Consider the following 22,886-nt stretch of genomic DNA (forward strand, 5'->3'; position numbering starts at 1 on the left):
GTAAGCACCGGGCCATTTAACATATTTTACTTAATTTGCCCCAATTCCTGGGCATTAGCCTAGTTCGCCAAGTTAGAAAGTACCTGACAGACTTCTTCTCCACATTTCTTTACCCCAGAGCTACCTCCTTGCATTTATCCCAGAAATTCTCCATACATTTCTTGAAAATATTCGAGAACTTAACAGTCATTTCTTTATACAATAAAATTTATCTCATTGGCATATATGTTATAAAAATGATATAAAAATATAGCTTCTGTATGTAAAAATGATCAACATAATGATTTCTGCTGACTAGAAATATGCCCTTTATAAAGAAAGTCGTAGCAAAGTTGAAATATTTCTTACAAAGGCAGTATATTCTTAGATTTTTTAAGTAGATGAATAATTCTTATGCTCTGAGAAATGGCCCTTCAGAAGAATATATGCTTATCTTCAGTTCATCTTCAAGTAATTTAATAACCAGGACAATCAATATACCTTAAAACATCTTAGAACTTCTAAAATGTAATTGCTTCTCTGTTTTTCTTTCTTTAAAGAGAAGGACCATGTATTTTTCTTCACTTTTGTTTTCCCTGTAACCACACAAACAGAATTACGTACAGGCCCACCACACATAAGTGAAGTTCAGTGCCTACAGGAACACATCACCATTTTTCTTTCCAAATTCCAACACCTGCAGGGATTGAAGAAATGGTAACATTATGTGACGATGTAACATTATTGCCTGCAATGTGCCAGCATGGAGTTGTGTGAGAATTGTTTCTGCATGTTTTCAACTAACTTGATTGTCTTTTGCACAGAATGGTTTTACTCCACTGCACATTGCCTGCAAGAAAAACCGCATCAAAGTCATGGAACTGCTGGTGAAATATGGGGCTTCAATCCAAGCTATAACAGAGGTAGAAAAATGTTTTAGCTAGTCACAAAGCATTCCTTCTCTTACTCCTTCCTCCCTTTCCTTTTTCTCATCTTCTGTCCTCTTCACTCAAGTTTTATTTATCTGAAGAAGCCCCAAAGCCCCACCGGTGCAGAGGAGTAAAACTGCTGTTGCTTTGTTTCGCAGTCTGGCCTCACACCAATACATGTGGCTGCCTTCATGGGCCACTTGAACATTGTCCTCCTTCTGCTGCAGAACGGAGCCTCTCCAGATGTCACTAACATTGTGAGTATGGCTTGGGTCAGAATAACCCCAGGGAGGAAGAGCGAGAGGAACAGAGATTGTGGGTGTGTGTATGTGTGTTTGCGTGTATGTCATCGAAGTAAGCAACCAAGCTTTGAGAAGGGCCCTTGTAATAACACATTATTGAAATAATCACCAGAACTTCACTGAAAAGAACCTGGATAGGGTAAGAGGTGTTATAAAGTAAAATGGAAGCTATGAAGTGAGACAGCTTAAGACTCTGGGTGTAGGTGGATTGAACATGCATCTTAAATGCATTTATTAAAACAAAATACATTTTAAAAGCTCCTCTGCAAGTGAATGGATAATTGGTTCGAATAGAATCTTTAGGGCTCAACCTAGTTGCTTGAGGGAATTGTATTCCAGGCAATTTTCACAAAAACATCAAATCATTACCATAATTAACCTTAACAAAAGATTAACCAGAGATAGATCAATATCAGAGACTTTTACTTCGTGTCAAACTCTTCCTTCTTCAATTACATGGATTTCCCATTTTGTAACATTACGTTGATTTTTACTTTTGATTTGATCTGATTTGCTAGAGTGGAGGCTTCTCTTAGCTGAAAGTTATACCACATATCCTGGAATGAATGTTGGTCTCCAGACCACTTTCATTCAATCAACAAGTACTGGATGTCTCAGAATTTTTCTATGTAATCTAAATTAGGATTTTCACTTCTAATTTCTTTGTATATCTCTCATTTTCTTGGATTTTCCCCCTTTAAACTTTGGTCATTGTATCAGGATAAATCATTGAATGCAAATGTTCTCCTGAGCAAGAGAACTTCTTTGCACAAGGTGCAGGCATGTATTTGAAGTTCAAGAAGGTCTAGTAGAGTATTGAGATTCACATGTGCACCAGAAATAACTCTCTCAAAATAAATAAGCTTATTATTAAAATGAGCTATGTTGTCAAAAGCAATTGATTGGCACTTGTTGCTAATTTTTGGCATCTCATTCCATTTAAGCTGTGAAAGAGAATGTCCAGTTTCACTTTTTATTTGTATTCTCTCTCATATTTCTTTTTTTCTGTATTTCACACACCATTTCCACAGTGAAGTTTCTGATGGCTAGGAAAATCCATTGTGAGAATTAATTCAATTGAGTTTAAAAATTATTTAATACTCTCTCTTCATGTTATTCAGTAATTGGAGCATAAAATCATTGAAGAATTTAAAGTCTATATTTATAAGTTTTCTTAATTATAGCTTATTGGTCCTAAGGTCATAATATTATATGCTAATCTTTATTTACTCCATTAGACATGAGAGTAATTTCACAATGTGCCAACATAAGTTTAATTTCTAGTCACTTCTTAGAACTTTAAAAGTAATCATCATCCCCCCCCTTTTTTTTTTGAGATGACTACCTTTTTTTTTCTTTTTTTTTTTTTTAATTGAGACCTGAACAGATTTACGTACAGGCCAGTAACATTAAAACAAAAAACAAACAACAACAACAGCAACCAACAAAAGAAACAAGCAAACAAACAAAAAACCGCTGTGTTCTTGCCCGCCTTTTCCTTTTTTATCTCCACCTATTCTTATTTGCATTCCAATGCTTATAGGATCAGAGGAGCAATAGTGACACTGTTACAATATGTTATCACATTATAATGATAACATGTACAAGAATATTCTGTGGGTTGCTTGATTGCAATCCCCTGAATTAATCTCTTTTAGTGGAGACTTTTACAAACTCTTCAAAGAATAATCCATATAAAATGGTTGTGGAATTTGTGGCCACTCTTACTTTGCTTCTTCACTGACCAATTCCAAATCTTCAGGTGGTTATGGAGTTATAATATACTCCCTTCTATTAAAAAAGTTATATGGGGTACATGTATATTTTCAAATAAAAATAAAATATTAATTGAAACAAACAATTTTGACATATTTTTCAGGTTGTTGAAGACTTTCAAATTTGACAATCATTATATTAAACTTCAGCTTCCAACTGTTGGTCATTTAAAGTTCTTCATTTTATCTGTTCATTTGTCCATTATATTATCTTTCCATCCAGCTCCCTCAAAACAAATTCTTGAGGGGCACATGCCAATATAATTTCCGTGTTTTCTAGTTATGTTTTGTAAGGTAGGTCCTTCAGGAAGCAGATACCTATTGATAGGGTTGCCAGGTAAAATATAGGACTCTCAGTTAAATTTAAATTTCAGATGAAAAATAAATTTTTATATATGACCCATGCAATAGTTAAGACATAGTAAAATAATTATTTGTTGTTTGTCTGGAATTAAAATTTAACTGGCTGTCCTGTACTTTTAATTGCTAAATCTGGCAATCCTACATTTAGAGGAATTTAACTTTCTCTAGCAGTGGGATGCCTGTGAAGTTGTGTTTTCTCAGAACATGAGGATATAGCTACTGGATCCAAAATTCTTTGCAAGTTGATGAAGAAACCGTGTGAACGCTGACTGCCTGCTTGCTGTGTCAGAGTTGGTCACTTCCTGACCCTAAAACACCCCACCCTTGGAGCCTTTGTGTGTTGCCTGAAATCATGTTGCATTTTTGAATGCAATGCTGTTTGTTGTGCTTCGATGCTTTTCAACTTGATGCGCCCAAAGTGGAAGTCAATGTAGCCCTGTCAGCAGAGTCAGTTTTAACAACTGAGAAGAGTGGCATGAAATTTAGTACCTGCTTTGGACATGAGCATACCCATTCTCTTGCTAGTTTTGTTTTTGCCTGAAAATTCACTCCAAGTGTGAGGTGTACCAGTAACTCAATCACGTATAGACATTTTTTTTTTAACTGAAAATCTCCTTTTCCAGAAGGTTTATTAATACGCTTTGAAACTTAGAATGCCGAACTGCCAATTACAACACATCCATAATCCAAAGTATTCATCAATAACCATAGGAATAGAAAACTAAGCATTTTAACAACTATCAAGAAAGAATGCAAGGTCTTACAAAGTTTTATCTTCCTTCCCATAAGAAATCAGTGGACTAATGGTAAAGTTCACACATTATATTATGCTTAAAAATTTCCCCGAATCCTTAAATTTCATTAGCTTGAGATAAGAAAGACAAGGCTATTAAATAAAATAGGGTGCCTGACAATCAAGACATGGAAATTATTTATTACAACAATATATCCTGATTTTCATTTTCTTATTTATTCTTATATATAAACAATGGTAATATTAACATAAAAGACTAATAAGGGCAACTTACAGTAGAAGTCCATTATGCCAGAGGTGTTAGATAATAATTAAACAAGACCATTATTATAAAGTGGAGAGACCATGTGTGTGTTTATACATAACCTTTGTTTGAATTTAAGCCTTAGTGCTTTAAATTAGATTCTATATCTAACTCATCAATTTCAAGTGTGTAAAACCCATAAAAAAAACTTAAGTATAAAATAAAGGTTTTAGAAATATTGGCCAGTATTGGAAACATTTCAGATTTTGAAAGCCCCTTATTGATAAAGCTTGGCTTAAAAAATAAACATGAAGGCCAAGCGTGGTGGTGGATGCCTGTAATCCCAGCTACTTGGGAGGCTGAGGCAGGAGAATCACTTGAACCAAAGAGGTGGAGGTTGCAATGAGCCTAGATTGCACCACTGCACTCCAGCCTGGGGTACAGAGTGAAACTTTGTCTCTACATAAATAAATAAATAATAAACATGAAAATTTGTCATTACATAGGAATTCCTGGGACCTCTTTGACTTTTAACTTCTTATACAGAAATTTATTCTTATCATCATTTCTACCAAAATTAGTAAAATTGCTAGCCTTTTATCAGACCTAGAAATAACGTAAAGATTTGAGGAGTATTGTTTTTGTTTTTCTGAGACACGACCTTGCCCTGTCACCTAAGCTGGAATACAGTGGGCAAGATTATGGCTCACTGCAGCCTCAACCTCCTAGGCACAGGCTATCCTCCTGCCTCAGCCTCCCAAGTAGCTGGAACTACAGGCATGCACCACTATGCCTGGCTAATTTATTTATTTATTTATTTAGAGAAGAGATCTTGCTATGTCTCCCACCCTGGTCTTGAATGCTTGACTTCAAGCAATACTCCTGCCTTGGCCTCCCAAAGTGCTGGGATTACAGGCTTGAGCCACTGCAACTGGTCTTGTTTTGTTTTGTTTGAATACCATCGGCCCTCTGTATCAGTAGCTTCTGTATCAGTGGGTTCTAAATCCATGGATTTAATCAATCTTGGATTGAAAATATTTGAAAAAATAAAAATAAAAAACTACAATAAAAATAACAAAAAATTTTAAAAAGTACAGTATAACAACTATATAGCATTTACATTGTGTTAGGTATTATAAGTAATATAGAGCTGAATTATACAGGATTATGTGCATAGGTTACTTGCAAATACTACACCATTTTATATAAAGGACTTGAGCATCCATGTATTTTGGTATTGGTGGGGGAAACAGGAGGCCTGGGACCAATCCCTCACCAATACAGAGGGACAACTGTAGTTAGAAGATTTTAGCCTTGCCGGGCACGGTGGCTCACACCTGTAATCCCAGCACTTTGGGAGGCCGAGGCGGGTGGATCACTAGGTCAGGAGTTCAAGACCAGCTTGACCAACATGATGAAACCCCATCTCTACTAAAATTACAAAAATTAGCTGGGCATGGTGGCGGGCACCTATAATCCCAGCTACTTGGGAGGCTGAGGCAGGAGAATCTATTGAACCCGGGAGGCTGAGGCTGCAGTGAGCCGAGATCATGCCACTGCACTCCAGCCTGGGAAACAGAGCAAGACTCTGTCTGAAAAAAAAAAAAAAAAAAAAAGAAGATCTTAGCCTCATCTATTTAGAGACAGGTTTTAAATGATATGGAAAACAAGTTAGAAATCATGATTGTCTGTCCAGGGAGGAAAAATCTTGTGATACATCTAAAGTCTGAAGATAAATATTAGCATTCCAATGATACATCGTTTTATAAAACAACATACTCCAGATACATTTACTTTACAAAAGTCTAAATCTGTTATCAGAAAATAAGCCCATTAGAGGATAAATGAGTCATCAACAAAGAAGAGAAAATTAGAGTAGATATCCAATTTAGTGCTTTCACAATCAAATCATTTGACATGAATTTCTCATAACTTCAAAAGAAATGGGTCTCCAAAATACTGAGAAAAAATTAACTGTGAACTATGTGCCAAATTAAAGTTCACCTTAAAGTTTCTAGATTTAAGGGTTTGTTGTACAAGGAATCAGAAGAAATTATTCTCTGCAGTTTGTCAATTACCACAACCAAATTTAAAATCAAATTTAGTTTATTTGGAATGGTTTACTTTACTTGGTTGAAATCATCCTTATCTTCTAGAACAGTTGTGGTAAATCAATCTGTAATAATTTTTATTCCAATATCTTATTCTAACTGTAAAATTACTTGAGTGAATGAAACCCTGCCTTCTTTAGAACTATATATGGTTTTAAAATATGCTGATTTTTAAAAACCTCTCTCTTAGAGACAGTAGAGTAATAACCGGCTACTTGATGAGAAAATTCTCTTAATCAAACCCTTGTTCTTCATGCTACACCTAAAGCCACCCTTTCCTGACAAATGTGTCATATTTTGGGGTAGAACAAAGATACCTGAGGCATGATGCATGGCCTACCTCAACAGATGACACTGCTGACAGTCACTTTATTCATCTTTCAGTGGCTCTCTCAAATAACTGTCTATAATTAAATATGCTCATTAATCTTAAATAGAGGACCTCCTGGGCAAATCAAATTTCTTGTCTGATCCATTTTTGTCTAGTCTCATAACACAAAAAAATCAGATACAAAATAATATTTTATTTCAGAAGGAAATTTTGAATCTTGAAATGATTTATTTATGGTATAAGTGGTATTAATTTTTTGCAACGTGTTGATCTTCAGCATCTAGTTTCTCACTGAAATAGATTCAAGTTGTGATCACATAGTTAAGTGAGACAATGACAGATTTTTAGGTTTTTAGGGTAAAAGAAAACTTCATCACCAAAATCAATTTAAAGGGATGCTTAAGCTGCTGATTGTGAAGTGAAACAACTCAAGAGTATCCTGGATGTTCGGATAAATTTACTAGTTTTTCATGGACTTGAAAAAATAAAATAAACATTCGTTTTATCCTTATAAAGATGGAGAAGAAAAATACAAAAATCAGCTGGGTGTGGTGGCAGGCACCTGTAGTCCCAGCTACTGGGGAGGCTGAGGCAAGAGAATCGCTTGAACCCTGGAGGTGGAGGTTGTGGTGAGCCGAGATGTTGCCATTGCACTCCAGCCTGAGCAACAAGAGTGAAACTTTGTCTCAAAAAAAAAAAAAAGATACAAATCTATATTTTCCAGACTAAATAATTATGCCTTTTCATAGGTTTCTTAAATCCTTGGATATATTGCTGAATTTCACAAAAAGGGACAACTTTATTCTTTACCATCCAGAGCGGTGGGTTAATTTATGATTTGACGATCTTTGTTCCCTGGCAGCGTGGTGAGACGGCACTACACATGGCAGCCCGAGCCGGGCAGGTGGAAGTGGTCCGATGCCTCCTGAGAAATGGTGCCCTTGTTGATGCCAGAGCCAGGGTAGGTACTGGTGCCCTGAGGTTCTCTTCTATCGCAGCGCATGAGTTTCATCCTTAAGAGAGGGTGTTGCCCTTCAGTTCCTTGATTTGGAAATACCAGGGACTGTAAGTGAAAGGATCAATTCAATAGCAGTTTTCCAGAAAAAAAAAAGAAACATTATTTAAGCAATTACACACGACGAAAAATGCACCCAAATTTCAGAAACATTAACATTTGAAAAAATGTAAAACTTATCATCTAAGAAATACATCGACTGATATTTTAATACTGTTTTAACCTCGGAAAGCACTTTCTCATATCTCTTTATTTTCATGAATTTTAAAATTTAACCTAAAGTATTTAGATGCTATACATATTAAAATTTATTTCTTACCACTTAAACCAATCACATTTCCACAGTCATCCCTCACTAGTTACATAAAATCAAGTTATTCTCCAAGTTTTAGTGTTTTTCCTTCATCTGTTTGCCTTCCCTCCTTTTTATGATATTTACTTTTCTTCTTACTCTGATTTTACAAATTTAGACATTCTGTATTTCCACAGTTCCAAAATAGAATTTGGGCACTGAAGATTGCTTGATCAGACTTGTCCTGTTTCTAATAGCTTGTAATTCCTTCACAAGTTTCTTTTTCCTTCTTTTTCTGTTTTTAAATCTTACTTTCCAATTTATTTTCTCACCTTCCTTTACATTGAATACACCAGAATGCACTGAATACACTATCAATATACTGTACCTTCTATTTCCTTTTCCATGTGGTTTGGTTAACTTTTGCACTGACATCATTGAGATTCTCATGTTAAATAATTTCCCTCCTTCTTCAATATTTGATATACCTAAGTTAGAGCTCATTTCAGTTTGAGTTGTACCATTATAATACAGTGTTATCTTGGAATGAAAGCATCTGGCTATGGTCATATAAATTGTAAGTGATTTCAGGCAGGTCACTTCACTTTCAAGTCTTTCTTTAAATTATTATTATACTTTAAGTTCTGGGATATATGTGCAGAATGTGCAGGTTTGTTACATAGGTATATATGTGCCATGGTGGTTTGCTGTACCCATCAACCCGTCATCTACATTATGTATTTCTCCTAATGCTATTTCTCCCCTAGCCCCCTACCCCCGACAGTCTCCAGTGTGTGATGTTCCCCTCCCTGTGTCCATGTGTTCTCATTGTTCAACTCCCACTTATGAGTGAGAACATGCAGTGTTTGGTTTTCTGTTTCTGTGTTAGTTTGCTGAGAATGATGGCTTCCAGCTTCATCCATGTCCTGCAAAGGACATGAACTCATTCTTTTTTAAGGCTGCATAGTATTCCATGGTGTATATGTGCCACATTTTCTTTATCCATTCTATCATTGGTGGGCATTTGGGTTGCTTCCAAGTCTTTGCTATTGTGAATAGTGCTGCAATAAACATATGTGTGCATGTGTCTTTATAGTAGAATGGCTTATAATCCTTTGGGTATATACCCAGTAATGGGATTGCTGGGTCAAATGGTATTTCTGGTTCTAGATCCATGAGTAATTGACACATTGTCTTCCACAATGGTTGAACTAATTTACACTCCCACTAACAGTGTAAAAGTGTTCCTATCTCTGCCAGGCATGGTGGCTCACCTCTGTAATCCCAGCACTTTGGAAGGCTGAGGTGAGCAGATCACCTGAGGTTGGGAGTTTGAGACCAGCCTGACCAACATGGAGAAACCCTGTCTCTACTGAAAATACAAAATTAGACTGCTATGGTGGCACATGCCTATAATCCCAGCTGCTCAGGTGGCTGAGGCAGGAGAATCTCTTGAACCCGGGAGGCGGAGGTTGCGGTGAGCTGAGATCGTGCCATTGCACTCCAGCCTGGGCAACAAGAGTGAAACTCTGTCTCAAAAAAAAAAAGCATTCATATCCTCTCCAGCATCTGTTGTTTCATGACTTTTAAATGATCACCATTCTAACTGGCATGAGATCATATCTCATTGTGGTTTTGATTTGCATTTCTCTAGTGACCAGTGATGATGAGCTTTTTCTCATATTTTGTTAGCCACATAAATATCTTCTTTTGAAAAGTGTCTGTTCATATCCTTCGCCGACTTTTCAATGGGGTTGTATGTTTTTTCTCGTAAATTTGTTTAAGTTCCTTGTCGATTCTGGATATTAGCCCTTTGTCAGATGGATAGATTGTAAAATTTTTCTCCCATTCTTTGGGTTGCTTGTTCACTCTGATGATAGTTTCTTTTGCTGTACAGAAGCTCTTTAGTTTAATTAGATCCCATTTGTCAATTTTGGTTTTTGTTGCCATGGCTTTTGGTGTTTTAGTCATGAAGTCTTTGCCCATGCCTATGTCCTGAATGGTATTGCCTAGTTTTCTTCTAGGATTTTTATGGCTTTAGGTCTTACATTTAAGTCTTTAATCCATCTTGAGTTAATTTTTGTATAAGACGTAAGAGAGGGGTCCAGTTTTAGTTTTCTGCATATGGCTAGCCAGTTTTCCCAACACCATTTATTAAATAGGGAATCCTTTTCCCATTGCTTGTTTCTGTCAGATTTGTCAAAGATCAGATGGTTGTAGATGTGTGGCATTTTTTCTGAGGCCTCTGTTCTGTTCCATTGGTCTATATATCTGTTTTGGTACCAGTACCATGCTGTTTTGGTTACTGTAGACTTGTAGTATAGTTCGAAGTCAGGTAGTGTGATGCCTCCAGCTTTATTCTTTTTGCTTAGGATTGTCTTGGCCATATGGGCTCTTTTTTGGTTCCATATGAAGTTTAAAGTAGTTTTTTCTAATTCTGTGAAGAAAATCAACGGTAGCTTGATGGGGATAGCATTGAATCTATAAATTTCTTTGGGCAGTATGGCTATTTTCACAATATTAATTCTTCTTATCCATGAGCATGGAATGTTTTTCTATTTATTTGTTTCTTCTCTTATTTCCTTGAGCAGTGGTCTGTAGTTATCCTTGAAGAGGTCCTTCACATCCCTTGTAAGTTGTATTCCTAGGTATTTTATTCTCTTTGTAGCAATTGTGAATGGGAATTTACTCATAATTTGCCTCTCTGTTTGTCTATTATTGGTGTACAGGAATGCTTGTAATTTTTGCACCTGGATGTTGTATCCTGAGACTTTGCTGAAGTTGCTTATCAGCTTTAGGAGATTTTGGGCTGAGATGATGGGGTTTTCAAAATATACAATCAAGTCATTTGCAAACAGAGACAATTTGACTTCCTCTCTTCCTATTTGAATACCCTTTATTTCCTCCCCTTGCCTGATTGCCCTGGCTAGAACTTCCAATACTATGTTGAATAGGAGTGGTGAGAGAGGGCATTCTTGTCTTGTGCAGCTTTTCAAAGGGAATACTTTCAGCTTTTGCCCATTCAGTATGATATTGGCTGTGGGTTTGTCATAAATGGCTCTTACTATTTTGAGATATGTTCCATCAATACCTAGTTTATTGAGAGTTTTTAGCATGAAGGGGTGTTGAATTTTATCAGTTTTTTCTACATCTATTGAGATTATCGTGTAGTTTTTGTCATTGGTTCTGTTTATGTGATGGGTTACATTTATTGATTTGCATATGTTGAACCAGTCCTGCATCCCAGGGATGAAGCTGACTTGATCGTGGTGGATAAGCTTTTTGATGTGCTGCTGGATTCAGTTTGCCAGTATTTTACTGAGGATTTTCGCATTGATGTTCATCAGGGATATTGTCCTGAAATTTTCTTTTTTTGTTGTGTCTCTGCCAGGTTTTGGTATCAGGATGATTCTGGCCTCATAAAATGAGTTATGGAGGAGTCTCTCTTTTTCTGTTGTTTGGAACAGTTTCAGAAGGAATGGTACCAGCTCCTCTTTGTACCTTTGGTAGAATTCAGCTGTGAATCCGTCTGGTCCTGGGCTTTTTTTGGTTGGTAGGCTAATTACTGCCTCAATTTTAGAACTTGTTATTGGTCTATTCAGGGATTCGACTTCTGCCTGGTTTAGTCTTGGGAGGGTGTATGTGTCCAGGAATTTATCCATTTCTTCTAGATTTTCTAGTTTATTGGTGTAGAGGCATTTATCGTATTCTCTGATGGTAGTTTGAATTTCTGTGGGGTCAGTGGTGATACTCAAGCCTCTGTAATGGCGGACGCCCCTCCCCCTACCACGCTGGAGCCTCCCAGATTAACTTCAGACTGCTGTGCTGGCAGCGAGAATTTCAAGCCAGTGGATCTTAGCTTGCTTGGCTCCCCTGGGGTGGGATCCACTGAGCTAGACCACTTGGCTTCCTGGCTTCAGCCCCCTTTCCAGGGGAGTGAACCGTTCTGTCTCACTGGCGTTCCAGGCGCCACGGTGGTATGAAAAAAAACTCCTGTAGCTAGCTCAATGTCTGCCCAAATGGCATCCCAGTTTTGTGCTTGAAACCCAGGGCCCTGGTGATGTAGGCACCCGAGGGAACCTCCTGGTCTGCAGGTTGCAAAGACCATGGGAAATGCGTAGTATCTGGGCCAGAGTGCACCATTCCTCATGGCACGGTCCCTCACGGCTTCCCTTGCCTAGGGGAGGGAGTTCCCTGACCCCTTGTGCTTTCCAGGTGAAGTGAAGCCCCACCCTGCTTTGGCTTGCCCTCCATGGGCTGCACCCACTGTCTAACCAATCCCAGTGAGATGAGCCAGATACCTCAGTTGGAAATGCATAAATCACCTGCCATCTGTGTTGATCTCGCTGGGATCTGCAGATGGGAGCTGTTCCTATTCAGCCATCTTGCCAGCCTCCGGCCACTTCCAAGTCTTTATCAGTAAAATATGAGGGTTGGACTCAGAAACTCAAAACTCCTTTCTAGACTTTCTTAACATTCTTTGATTCAATGAATTTAATAGACATTTTCTTGTAACAGGTTCCACAGATCTTCATGCAGAATCCAGTGATACACGGGTAGCCTTAACATTACTCTTGTTGTCTTGGTTTTCATCTGCCTTTCTGTGCATTGTCCACATAGTGTAATTTATGTTCTTTGGTAATCATCATTGATCTATTATATTCTTATCTATTTAAAGCTTTATTCAACCATGAGCTTCCCCTGCCATAACATTTTTCTGGTTTCCTTTTAAGGTTACCTGGCATTCAGCTATTTGAAAAATATTTTCTATGGTCAACCAGTGCACTCTGACTATCGTATACTTTACTGGAAATTGTGTTGATGTTCCTGTAAATTTTTTGTAATTCGTATTTAATAATGAAAGAGTTTCCCATTTCTGTCTTAAAGTAAAACCCCTTAATGTTTATTATTCAAATTAAAATTTCTACTTTTAATGGAAATTTATTCATTTTCATGTGTCTCTGCCAAATTTTTCTGTATTGATATAACCCATTATTACAACCTTTTATCTTTTTGGATACCCTCTGAAGCCTCTTCCTTAAAAGCACCACTGGCAACAGAGTCTTTCCTTTAAAATATTAATTAATTAGTTAATTTTACACAAAGATTTCATCAATTCTACTTTTTTACTTCTCTTTTGCAACTACATTTAGTATCATTAATACATATATAGCTACCTCTTAATTCCTTATTCCTTCTAATTTAAATATCAAATTTCAGATGTTATCTTTTGTTTATTTTTTTTCTTTTCAGCTCTACCTCCCATTCTAAGCTACAACTGAAATCCCTTCCCTATAGCATTTTCTATTGTGAACAAACAAAAATACTGTAGCCTTGTGAAGCAGTGCTCCCTAAAGGTCAATATGCATACAAATTACCTGGGCACCCTGCTAGAATGCATATTGTAAGTCAGTTCTGCATATTTAACAAACTCTCAGGTGATGTCAGGGCTGCTGATTTTGGGATTATGTTTCAAGCAGCAAGAAGTTAGGGTTTTCCTATTCATAAGTCCTATTTTAAAGCGTACTTTCACCATGTGTGTTTTATTGTCATTTAATCCTTTTAATGTGTTCCTGGGCCTCTGATTTAGTTAACATTTGAACAGTGCTTTAGAATTCATCAAGCATTTAAACACAAAGTGTCTTATTTGATACCCAGAGGATTCCTGTGTTGTAGGGTGGCTTAGCGTCCTGAAATTCAAGATTGTGCTGATTAACCTGTGGTGACAGAGTTAAGATAAGAAAAAGATTTCTCCTCTGATTCCGCATCTTTCTCCTAACTCTTTCTGCTAACGTCATTATCTCCCACTTCAAATGTAAAGAGAGCCCCTCTTCCTCCCATCCGAACAAACCACTGGTTTCTAATTAGTCACATTCTTTCCCTGAGCTTATGACTATGATCAGGATAAAAGATCAAGCTTGGGCTCATGCGCATTCATGCGGCCCATTTATGAGGTGGGATAAGAAGACCAGCAGCCCTTCTAGAACCACATGGAATATGGGATGTCCGTTTCCCCCAAATGAGGGATGGCTGTCCCAGAAGAAGGGTGCAGGGGGTATTGGGCAGAAAAATGAGCACATATCTGCTATTTTACCTCTTGATTTCTCACCGCACGCATGCGTGCACATGCACGCACAGACACACACACACACACACACACACTTTTGGAAACTTCCTCTCTAAACCTAATAACATTGCTCGAGAATTCACCCTCTCCCGAAGAAGAGATAGTAAAAAATTGTGCCAAGCTACTACATTGAGCTCCAAGGTTGAGATTGCTGCGTAGTTCACAATCTTCTCAATCAGGTTTAGAAATAATATCTCATGGGTCTAAGTCATATGTTTTGCCTATTCACAATATATAACAAAAGAAAAACCATATACTCATAATAACATCTGTAATTTTTAAAGTTCACGCAGAACACTCTATTCACCAGTCCAGAGCATAAGACACATTTTGCTGGACAGACTGGAGAGCAGGGGACCACAGTGGCCTCAGTTCCTCTGTCAGCCAATGTGTTTGCACCCAGGTCCTGCTCGCAGGAAGGTCCTTCCTTGTCCAGTGTCCTCAGTGGACATTACTGAGAAGGCCACCAGAGCCTGACCATCTGGGAGCTCTCTTGCTTTAGGAGCTGGTTCTGTTGGCACAATTACAGGGCTTGGCATTTGCTTTAGGGATCGAGCAATCCCAGGGGTCCTAGGCTTAAACTCACTTGAAACTTAGCTCATTTAGAACTTTAGTTAGATACTAGGAGATGTGGCTCCTGGGAACCCTGTTAGCTAGTAACTAGTAATAGAAATTTTATCAAATCTTTGAACTTTATCCCAGCCAGTGTTATTTTTCTCTTTGTAAAAGGAGCTGGGGCTCAGCAAGTCTCCAGAGTAAAATGGTAGACTGCAGTGGCAAAGCAGAGCTCACCTACTTCCGGTCCAGGCTGTGTCAGCCAGTGATGCTTTATGATGAGGGAATTGTTGCCTCTCATTTTTGGAAGAGGTCTATGTGATCAGGCTTCCCTCGTTTCTTTACCTTTTCCCATGAATCTTTTCTTCTGCACTTCCCCAATTCTTTTCCCTGGTTTAAATTAACATTACCCTTAAGCAGTAAATTCAACTTTTGCAATTCAGCAGGGAAATAATTGGCCAAACCTCAAAAAGTCTTATATCCCTGGTTACAGGTTGAAAGATTTTCTTTGCAAAATTTGCATGTTATTTCCTTTTCCACTTTCAGGTAAAGCTTTAGCAAAAATGGAAAAAAGTAGGCAAGACATCCTATTTTTTAACTTTTTTTTTTAAAGAAGAACATTAATGCTATACAGTCTAAGAACCAAGGATCAATAGTTAATAACTAACCAATTATGTAGCTACCTCTAGTCAATGATTGCCACTTCTCAGCTATGGATTAAAGAGTCATCATTGCTCCAACTATCCCTCTTACTCATGGAAAATCTATTTTAGAGTGTGTCACTTGCAATACCCACCCACCTTTATCAAATTTTGCAGGACAGAGATCTGAGAAGGGAACCCCAGAAACAACAAATGTTCATCATAGCTATTCTCAAGTTCCTTGGTTTTTAAATTGTTGTTTGTTTTGCTAACCATTTATTTTTATAAATAAAAATATGTTCATTTTATTTATAAATAAAAAATGTTTATTCTCCCAATTCCTCTATTTTTTTCCTCTGTATTTCAGAGAAATTTTATCTTCTAATGTGTTGTCAGTCTCCTTTCCTACTGAGAGTCACTTTGTTCCGACAGGTCTGTTAGTGGCCATCTTATTGTAGTATCTGTTTCCAAAGAATGTATAGGCAGAGAAATGTCTTTAGAATCCAATGCCCTGAATTCAAGTTCTGTTTTAATAGCTGAGTAACCTTGGACAATCTTTGAGAACTTGTTTAATTTTTCTTAATATTGACCTGGAAAATGGTCTAATAATACATTTTATGCTTTCCTTTTAACTCTGTTAGAAAGATGGGTCACATATGCATTGTACATGAAGAAAGGTTTTCAATTGCAAATGTTCACAAAATTTCAATTCTAGTCTAAAATAATCATATTACTGTTATTTATTTACTTCTTACTACCTTGGAATTCATGCAGTGCTATTTTATCTCTTCCTATAGCTCCTCTTCTTTTTTCTTATAACTTTAAGATACTGCATGTTTTTGGATAGATCTTTCTTCCTCTATATACTTTTCTCCATTCATTCTTAGCCCTGAAAGTCAGCCCAGTTTTCCCTTCCTCACTTTTATTATGACATGCCCTTGGGCAGATAGTAAAGATATACCTCTTTTTATCACTAAAGTTACACTCAATTTTCTTTTTACAAGAGAATGGTTTGGCCTGGTTCTCTAAACACTGAAAACATTATTTCCAACTACACTTCAGAGTCAGGTGATTTTCCTGAGCCTCCTGGAACATGTCCTTCCTGTCCCTTAGACCCAGCTATATCCTCTGTTTTTAATGGAAAGTACTTGGCAAATAGTTCACCCTATTTGCTTTTTGCCAGAGCCCCATTTCATTTTTTAAGTTCTGGATGCAAGTTCCAGAACTATCTACAGCATTTTCTGAAACATCTTTTAAAACCAGATTACAATATCTTCTTTGTGCACTGTTTCTCCTTGAAGAAAATGACCAGCATTTGTATCCTTGGCTTGCTGAATGGAGTAAAATCAAAGATTTTCCAGCATCCCTGGTTCTTTTTCTTTGAAAGAGTTCCCAGAATAAATCCTGTTTCTAAGTGAAAACTCTTGGATGAGAATATAGGTCCTAGGACTTTTGGACTAGATTTTATTCTTATTCCAAACCATCAGTTAGTTTATATTTAAACATAAGTGAGGCCTAAAGCCTTAATGAGTTGAGAAATATTTCAGAAAGCAGTGATCAAGTTCATGGAAGTATATGCTTTTTAAAAATCAAAGGGAGACTTTGTGACCAACAGGGTCACTGCTGTAGCAAAATATAAAATATGCCATGGTTAAAGCAGTAATGATTTTCTTTTGGGTGGGGTTCCTAGAGATTCCAAGAAGACATCATGAAATATGTGAGTGAAACATATCACCAGTGAAGTTCTGTCTGCCCGGCACTAACTTTTTACTTGGCTTGAGTTGTAGGAGGAACAGACACCTTTACATATTGCCTCCCGCCTGGGTAAGACAGAAATTGTCCAGCTGCTTCTACAACATATGGCTCATCCAGATGCGGCCACTACAAATGGGTACACACCACTGCACATCTCTGCCCGGGAGGGCCAGGTGGATGTGGCATCAGTCCTATTGGAAGCAGGAGCAGCCCACTCCTTAGCTACCAAGGTAAGGAGAATGACATCATGAGAACATGGACCAAGAGGATTCCTAAGTCATGGCCTTTCTGCTCTACCACATACAGAATCAAGAGGGTAGATCTCCTCAGGCCTTGACTTACTTCCTTCTCTACATATTTAAGACTCATTGTCTAAATGATTTAATAGAATTGTGAGATTCCGTATATCTTCAATAAAGAGTGCTGAATTTCATTCTAATTAATGCCAATGTTTCTAGGACAGGTATCTAGTACTCTAAGATGATTTTCACTTTTTCTTCTCTTTTATTATAAAATCCATAATATATTCTTAAGAAAAAGATAAATGAAATCCCTAAATATATTGAACTGGTAATACTAATGAGGAAGAGGGTACTGCATTAGATTGGCAGTACTATATTTGCTGTGAGTTATAGTACCAGATCGAAGCTCAATTTACTTGTACATTTTCGCAACCCTACTATTAGCCACCACTTATTTGACATTCTCATTCCCATATTAGTTTCCAACTTTACCAACTACACTTTTGCCTGGGTATTTACAGTGTTTAAAGAGAGCTGAAGCTGGAAAATCACACTTCTTTAGTTGTTATTGACATCGAGCAAAGAATTTTACTTATGTTCCAAGTTTCATGACAGGGCAGAGTAATTTTTCCCATGCTTTATACATGCTGTTTGACATTCATAATTTGGAGATGACTTAGAATAAAACATGAATATACTCAGCTAATTAGAGCAAAATTAATTGAGCCAGTGCAAGTGAATTTGTCATGGGGCAAAATAATTCCCACAAATGTAACAGTGATTCAGATTAATGAAAGGACAATTTCAATTCTCTCATAATCAGTAGGTATAAGTACTTCATCCAGGGAGAGGGAAAGTTGCAAATTTAAACTGAGATAGTGATGTGGCATCTGTCCTCTTGTAAGTAGGAGCAGCCCACTAGCTGTTATGGCTTATCTGGTTGCCTGTTATGACTTACCTGGTTGCCTATGGCTGTAAAAGGTATTTTGATATAAGAAATTGACAATTATTGAAGTTCTGAACTCTGAAAAGTTGGAAGGATTTTAAAAGTTCTTAAAAAAAAAAAAAACTAAGCAACAAATGTAGTAATAACCTGAGAGATTTGGTGATTGTCTTATCAGAGGAGGGTGTAAATCATCAAAATTAAGATACATAAAATACAGAAATAGATAATAAAACGTAGTCTTTTGTCTGTCAAAGATATTTAGGATTTAAAAAATATAACTATATCCATGGTAAATTAGGGCGATAAAATAGAATAAAATGTTAAACAGTGTTTTTTTTTTTTTTTTTTTTTTGAGACGGAGTCTCGCTCTGTCGCCCAGGCTGGAGTACAGTGGTGCGATCTTGGCTCACTGCAACCTCTGCCTCCCGGGTTCAAGCGATTCTTCTGCCTCAGCCTCCCGAGTAGCTGGGACTACAGGTGCCCTCCACCACACCCAGCTAAATTTTTGTATTTTTAGTAGAGACGGGGTTTCACTGTGTTAGCCAGGATGGACTCGATCTCCTGACCTCGTGACCCACCCACCTCGGCCTCCTAAAGTGCTGGGATTACAGGAGTGAGCCACTGCACCCGGCCAAACAGCATTTTAAGAGTTCAGCTGACTAGGGCTGAACAGTGGTTGATTCATCATTATTAAAGACATTTAAGAGGGTAAATGAAATCTTGGTGAGATTAACATAAAGGAAGAAGGCAGATGTGTGACTCAAGAGATGCCTTCTAACTTTGGTTTTGTTATTCTACAGTAGATTTTATGTATTTTTGTCTAATAATCATTTCCAAACTTATAAGAGTTGGATCACTATTCTAGCAAGACTTTAAAGATAAGGAGTTTATGTTTTCTTCCTCATGATGCAGTTAGCCTCAAAGAACTCTGTTTCATCCTGAGTATCACCCTAATCATTGTGTGCATTGAGTGGAGGGAGGAGAGCTCTAACCACAAATGCTGGTTTATATGGACAATGCAAGAAGGAATAAATACTTCCTACGTTTGTCCCACACTTGGAAAAAACCAGAAGATTCGCTCTCTTCCAAGGATTTATTAATACCAAATGTTCAAAAAAGAAGCAAAAAGAAAAACGTCATCTCATTTAAAAATAATTTGTCTGGAGACACCGAAAGGGCAATATTGCTTCTTGGGGGATATTCTGTGTTTATGATGGGGGCTTAAATGGTTCCAGGATAAGCCATGGCTTAGAGCACCTAACCCAGGCATATTTGCTATGTGTTTTACAGGCCCTGATCGGTGTTAGAATTCCCCCACTCCCACTGTAGTGCCAGAAGAGCATGTGGTTAAACTGTCTGGCCAAGAGGATGGATTTGACATCATGGTGTAGGAACTGTGCCATCCTCGAGATCTTAGTCCAGAGACTTATCTGTATTTATAACACACTGCTAATTACAGAGTAAGGCCATTGGTTAGGCACGGAAGACACTGAATGTACACATATCAACATGTGTAGGAGAGCAGCCCTCTAAAAAAAGCTCTAAAGCTTCAGTGTGTTTAAAAGTCTGGTGTTAATCAGCCCAACATCATGCCAGAAGTAGAACGTATTTTACAAAAGCAATTGGTCTTTTAGACAGTGTGAGTCTTTTGGGAAAGGGGACAAGTCAGGATGGGAGTTGCTTTTTAATAGTACATGTTTTTTGTTCTATAGACCATTTATCTTGCCATTTCTGCAGAAAATATGTCAACTAATTCACGAATACTTGTTTTTACTATGGCTGCCAAAATATCCTAAAATTTAAATGAATTTGGAATTCAGGTGTTATAAAAAGGATTGAAAGAAAGAGAAGGAGGGTTGGAGAGAAGGCAGCTGTTGTTTCAATTCTATTAATTTTAGAGGCAAGAAAAGGCTTTTTTTCCCCATTCACAAATTGGAGCCAGTTTACTGACACTAGTGGCTTTTAAAAATCCCAAACCTATAAAGTCAGATTTCAGTCTCCAAGCCCTTAAAATAAAATTTCTTTTATTCAGTCTATCAAGCCAAACTTTTGTATGTTAAATTGTATTCTTTTTCTTTGTCCTTGTTCATGGCTAACAGATTTAATGCTACCAGTATTTTTTCCAAATGAAGAATCAGTATACTTTGCTCAATATGTTAACAAATAAAAAGATTTTTTGAGGAGTTACAACAATAAATACGATTTTACTTTTGTTTCTCACATTTTCAGAAGGGTTTTACTCCCCTGCATGTAGCAGCCAAGTATGGAAGCCTGGATGTGGCAAAACTTCTCTTGCAACGCCGTGCTGCCGCAGATTCTGCAGGGAAGGTAAAGATTTTCTATACGTTATAATTATGTAACAGTGAAGGTGATAGATTAGGAGATCTGTAAAGACATTTTTCTCACTTCTCTGAAAGGAATGTGAGAGCAACTGATGAAACTATCCCAAATAGACATGGTGGCGATGTCTTCCATGACCGTCCAGGTACATACACACTGATTCAGAAAGCATTTTGAGCTGTGCCTCAAAGTCTTGTCACAACAGCCCCAGAAAGTCTCTATATTAAGAAGAATCCCTGCAATGTTAATGTAGTATTTCTTACATAGCAGTTTAGACCTTTTTACATTGTGACCCTCAAGATCCCCTTTGCTGGTGGTATGCTCATTTTCAATTTTAGTTATGTTTTTAATATGAAAATTATTAGGGATTTGTTTATTTTCGTTCTTTTTTCTATTGACTATATTAATTCATTAACATGAATTTAATCAATATCAGTTTCCAGGCATCCTGGTAGCTTCAGGGCAGCTAACCCTAATTTATTAATGCTGAAACTTAAACACACCCTTTACAGAACGGCCTTACCCCGCTCCATGTTGCTGCTCATTATGACAACCAGAAGGTGGCGCTGCTGTTACTGGAGAAGGGTGCTTCCCCTCATGCCACTGCCAAGGTGAGGACCACAGAAAAGGATTTACAGGCATAGGGTGTAACTATCGCCTGAAAACACATGAGAATTGTCTTTTAAACACATGGTATAGTATAACTGCGACTAGTCCTAGCGATAGTAGCTTTTGGTATTGACACCCTTTTTTTTCCCTTGTATTTCTGCCAGTTGCGTCTTGAAAATCTTTTTTAAGATTTTTTAAGAGTCAGCAAATATTAAGGGGATGTGCCTATAAACCAGTAGAGATGAATCTTATTGCTAACATTCTGTGTGTTAGAGAATGAAGTCTGAATTTTGAGAACTGAGAAATAAAGTCATTAACATATTTTCTCTTCTCTCCTATAAACCAAATGCTATGATGAAAATGTCCTTTTATACTCTCATTCTTTCCGACTTCAAACTTCTATTTGTTTCTTTGTCTTTTTTTTTAATGTTTTACCTGTGTTAACTGTAGCATGGATCCCTCTAAGTCCCTAGATTCAGAGGTGGTGGGAGGATGCCTTTTTGGTGTATATCTAGCACCAAATTCCGAAACAGCTCCAACTAAGACTTGTACTTACGGACAGGGCATTTCCCACCATTCTAGTTGGCCCCTTATTACACTGAAAATATATATGAATGTCGTATAATGCATAAAGTCCTCATTGCGTCTTTCGTTCATTAATTAAGCACAGCTATTTTGAGAACACATCAGGGTTTATTTAAAAAATATTGATTGTAATGGGAAAATATTTATGCTATATTAGACAATATAATAAAAAAACTGCCACCATTTATTTGCCAAACACTATGCCGAGCACTTTACAGGCAATATCTCATAATAACCCCATGAGACTGGTATTCTAATGATCTCCGTTTTGCAGATGAGAAGGTGAGATTTAAGTAGGTTAATTTTCCAAAGTCATATGAATAATAAGTGTTAGAGCTTGTACCTGTGTTTGACCTCAGGCAGACTGACTTTAGAGCCGGTGCTCTTAACCACTAGGTCCTTTGTGCCCCAAAGCAATAGAGGGAGATTTATTCCACTTCTGTTATACAAATATATACATATATACTCATATGCCTATTTAAATTTTATACATATTATAAATAAAAAATAGGATATATACATAAAATATGTTCTGTATAATATATATTTTATATATAAATATATTATATATATCATAAATATATAACTTTGTACACATACATACATATACATCTACATATATTTATATCTTTTTGATGCCAATAAACAGTTTATAATAAAGTACTTGAACTGTCAAAAGAGGGTGCCAAATGTTCATAATTATCCACACTGTTCTTACTCCTCTTTTTTCTACAACCTCATCAATTCAGCACATATTTTATGTCTTTCTTTACACTAGATTATAAGCTACTAGAGGAGTGTTCATATCATATTCATTTGCATATCTATGAGGTGTTTAATAACATATGTGAGTTCCCAATAAATTTGGATGAAAGAATGAAGATTGAGCAACTATGGAATAAAAATATACCTGCTCACTTAACATACCAGCATTTTTTTTTTCATTAGCTTTCCAGGCTGACCATTCTCAACATAGATACAAAAGACTTCA

General features: G+C 37.1%; 1 protein-coding gene across 66 annotated transcripts in view, besides 1 other annotated feature; it reads left to right on the forward strand.

The window, feature by feature from the left end:
* ANK2 (ankyrin 2) overlaps positions 1 to 22,886 on the forward strand; it is a 678,115-nt gene that overhangs the window by 551,625 nt on the left and 103,604 nt on the right. For 52 of the 66 annotated variants that reach the window (NM_001386186.2, NM_001386148.2, NM_001386187.2 and 49 more), the window contains 6 exons: positions 804 to 902; positions 1,067 to 1,165; positions 7,651 to 7,749; positions 17,206 to 17,403; positions 20,591 to 20,689; positions 21,214 to 21,312. In NM_001386186.2, coding sequence (NP_001373115.1) covers positions 804 to 902; positions 1,067 to 1,165; positions 7,651 to 7,749; positions 17,206 to 17,403; positions 20,591 to 20,689; positions 21,214 to 21,312 — 693 coding nt within the window. The remainder of the gene's footprint in view (positions 1 to 803; positions 903 to 1,066; positions 1,166 to 7,650; positions 7,750 to 17,205; positions 17,404 to 20,590; positions 20,690 to 21,213; positions 21,313 to 22,886) is intronic. The other 14 variants (NM_001354253.2, NM_001354270.2, NM_001354257.2 and 11 more) reach the window with 3 other exon arrangements.
* Positions 21,157 to 21,331: a silencer, noted in NCBI's record as "fragment chr4:114199559-114199733 (GRCh37/hg19 assembly coordinates)". NCBI's record gives its function as "represses an EF-1alpha promoter that drives an FKBP-Casp9 reporter gene in an ReSE screen in HepG2 liver carcinoma cells {active_cell/tissue: HepG2}" and the evidence as "EXISTENCE:reporter gene assay evidence [ECO:0000049][PMID:32094911]".

Source organism: Homo sapiens, chromosome 4 (genome assembly GCF_000001405.40).
Source record: "Homo sapiens chromosome 4, GRCh38.p14 Primary Assembly".
Classification (NCBI taxonomy): Eukaryota; Metazoa; Chordata; class Mammalia; order Primates; family Hominidae; genus Homo; species Homo sapiens.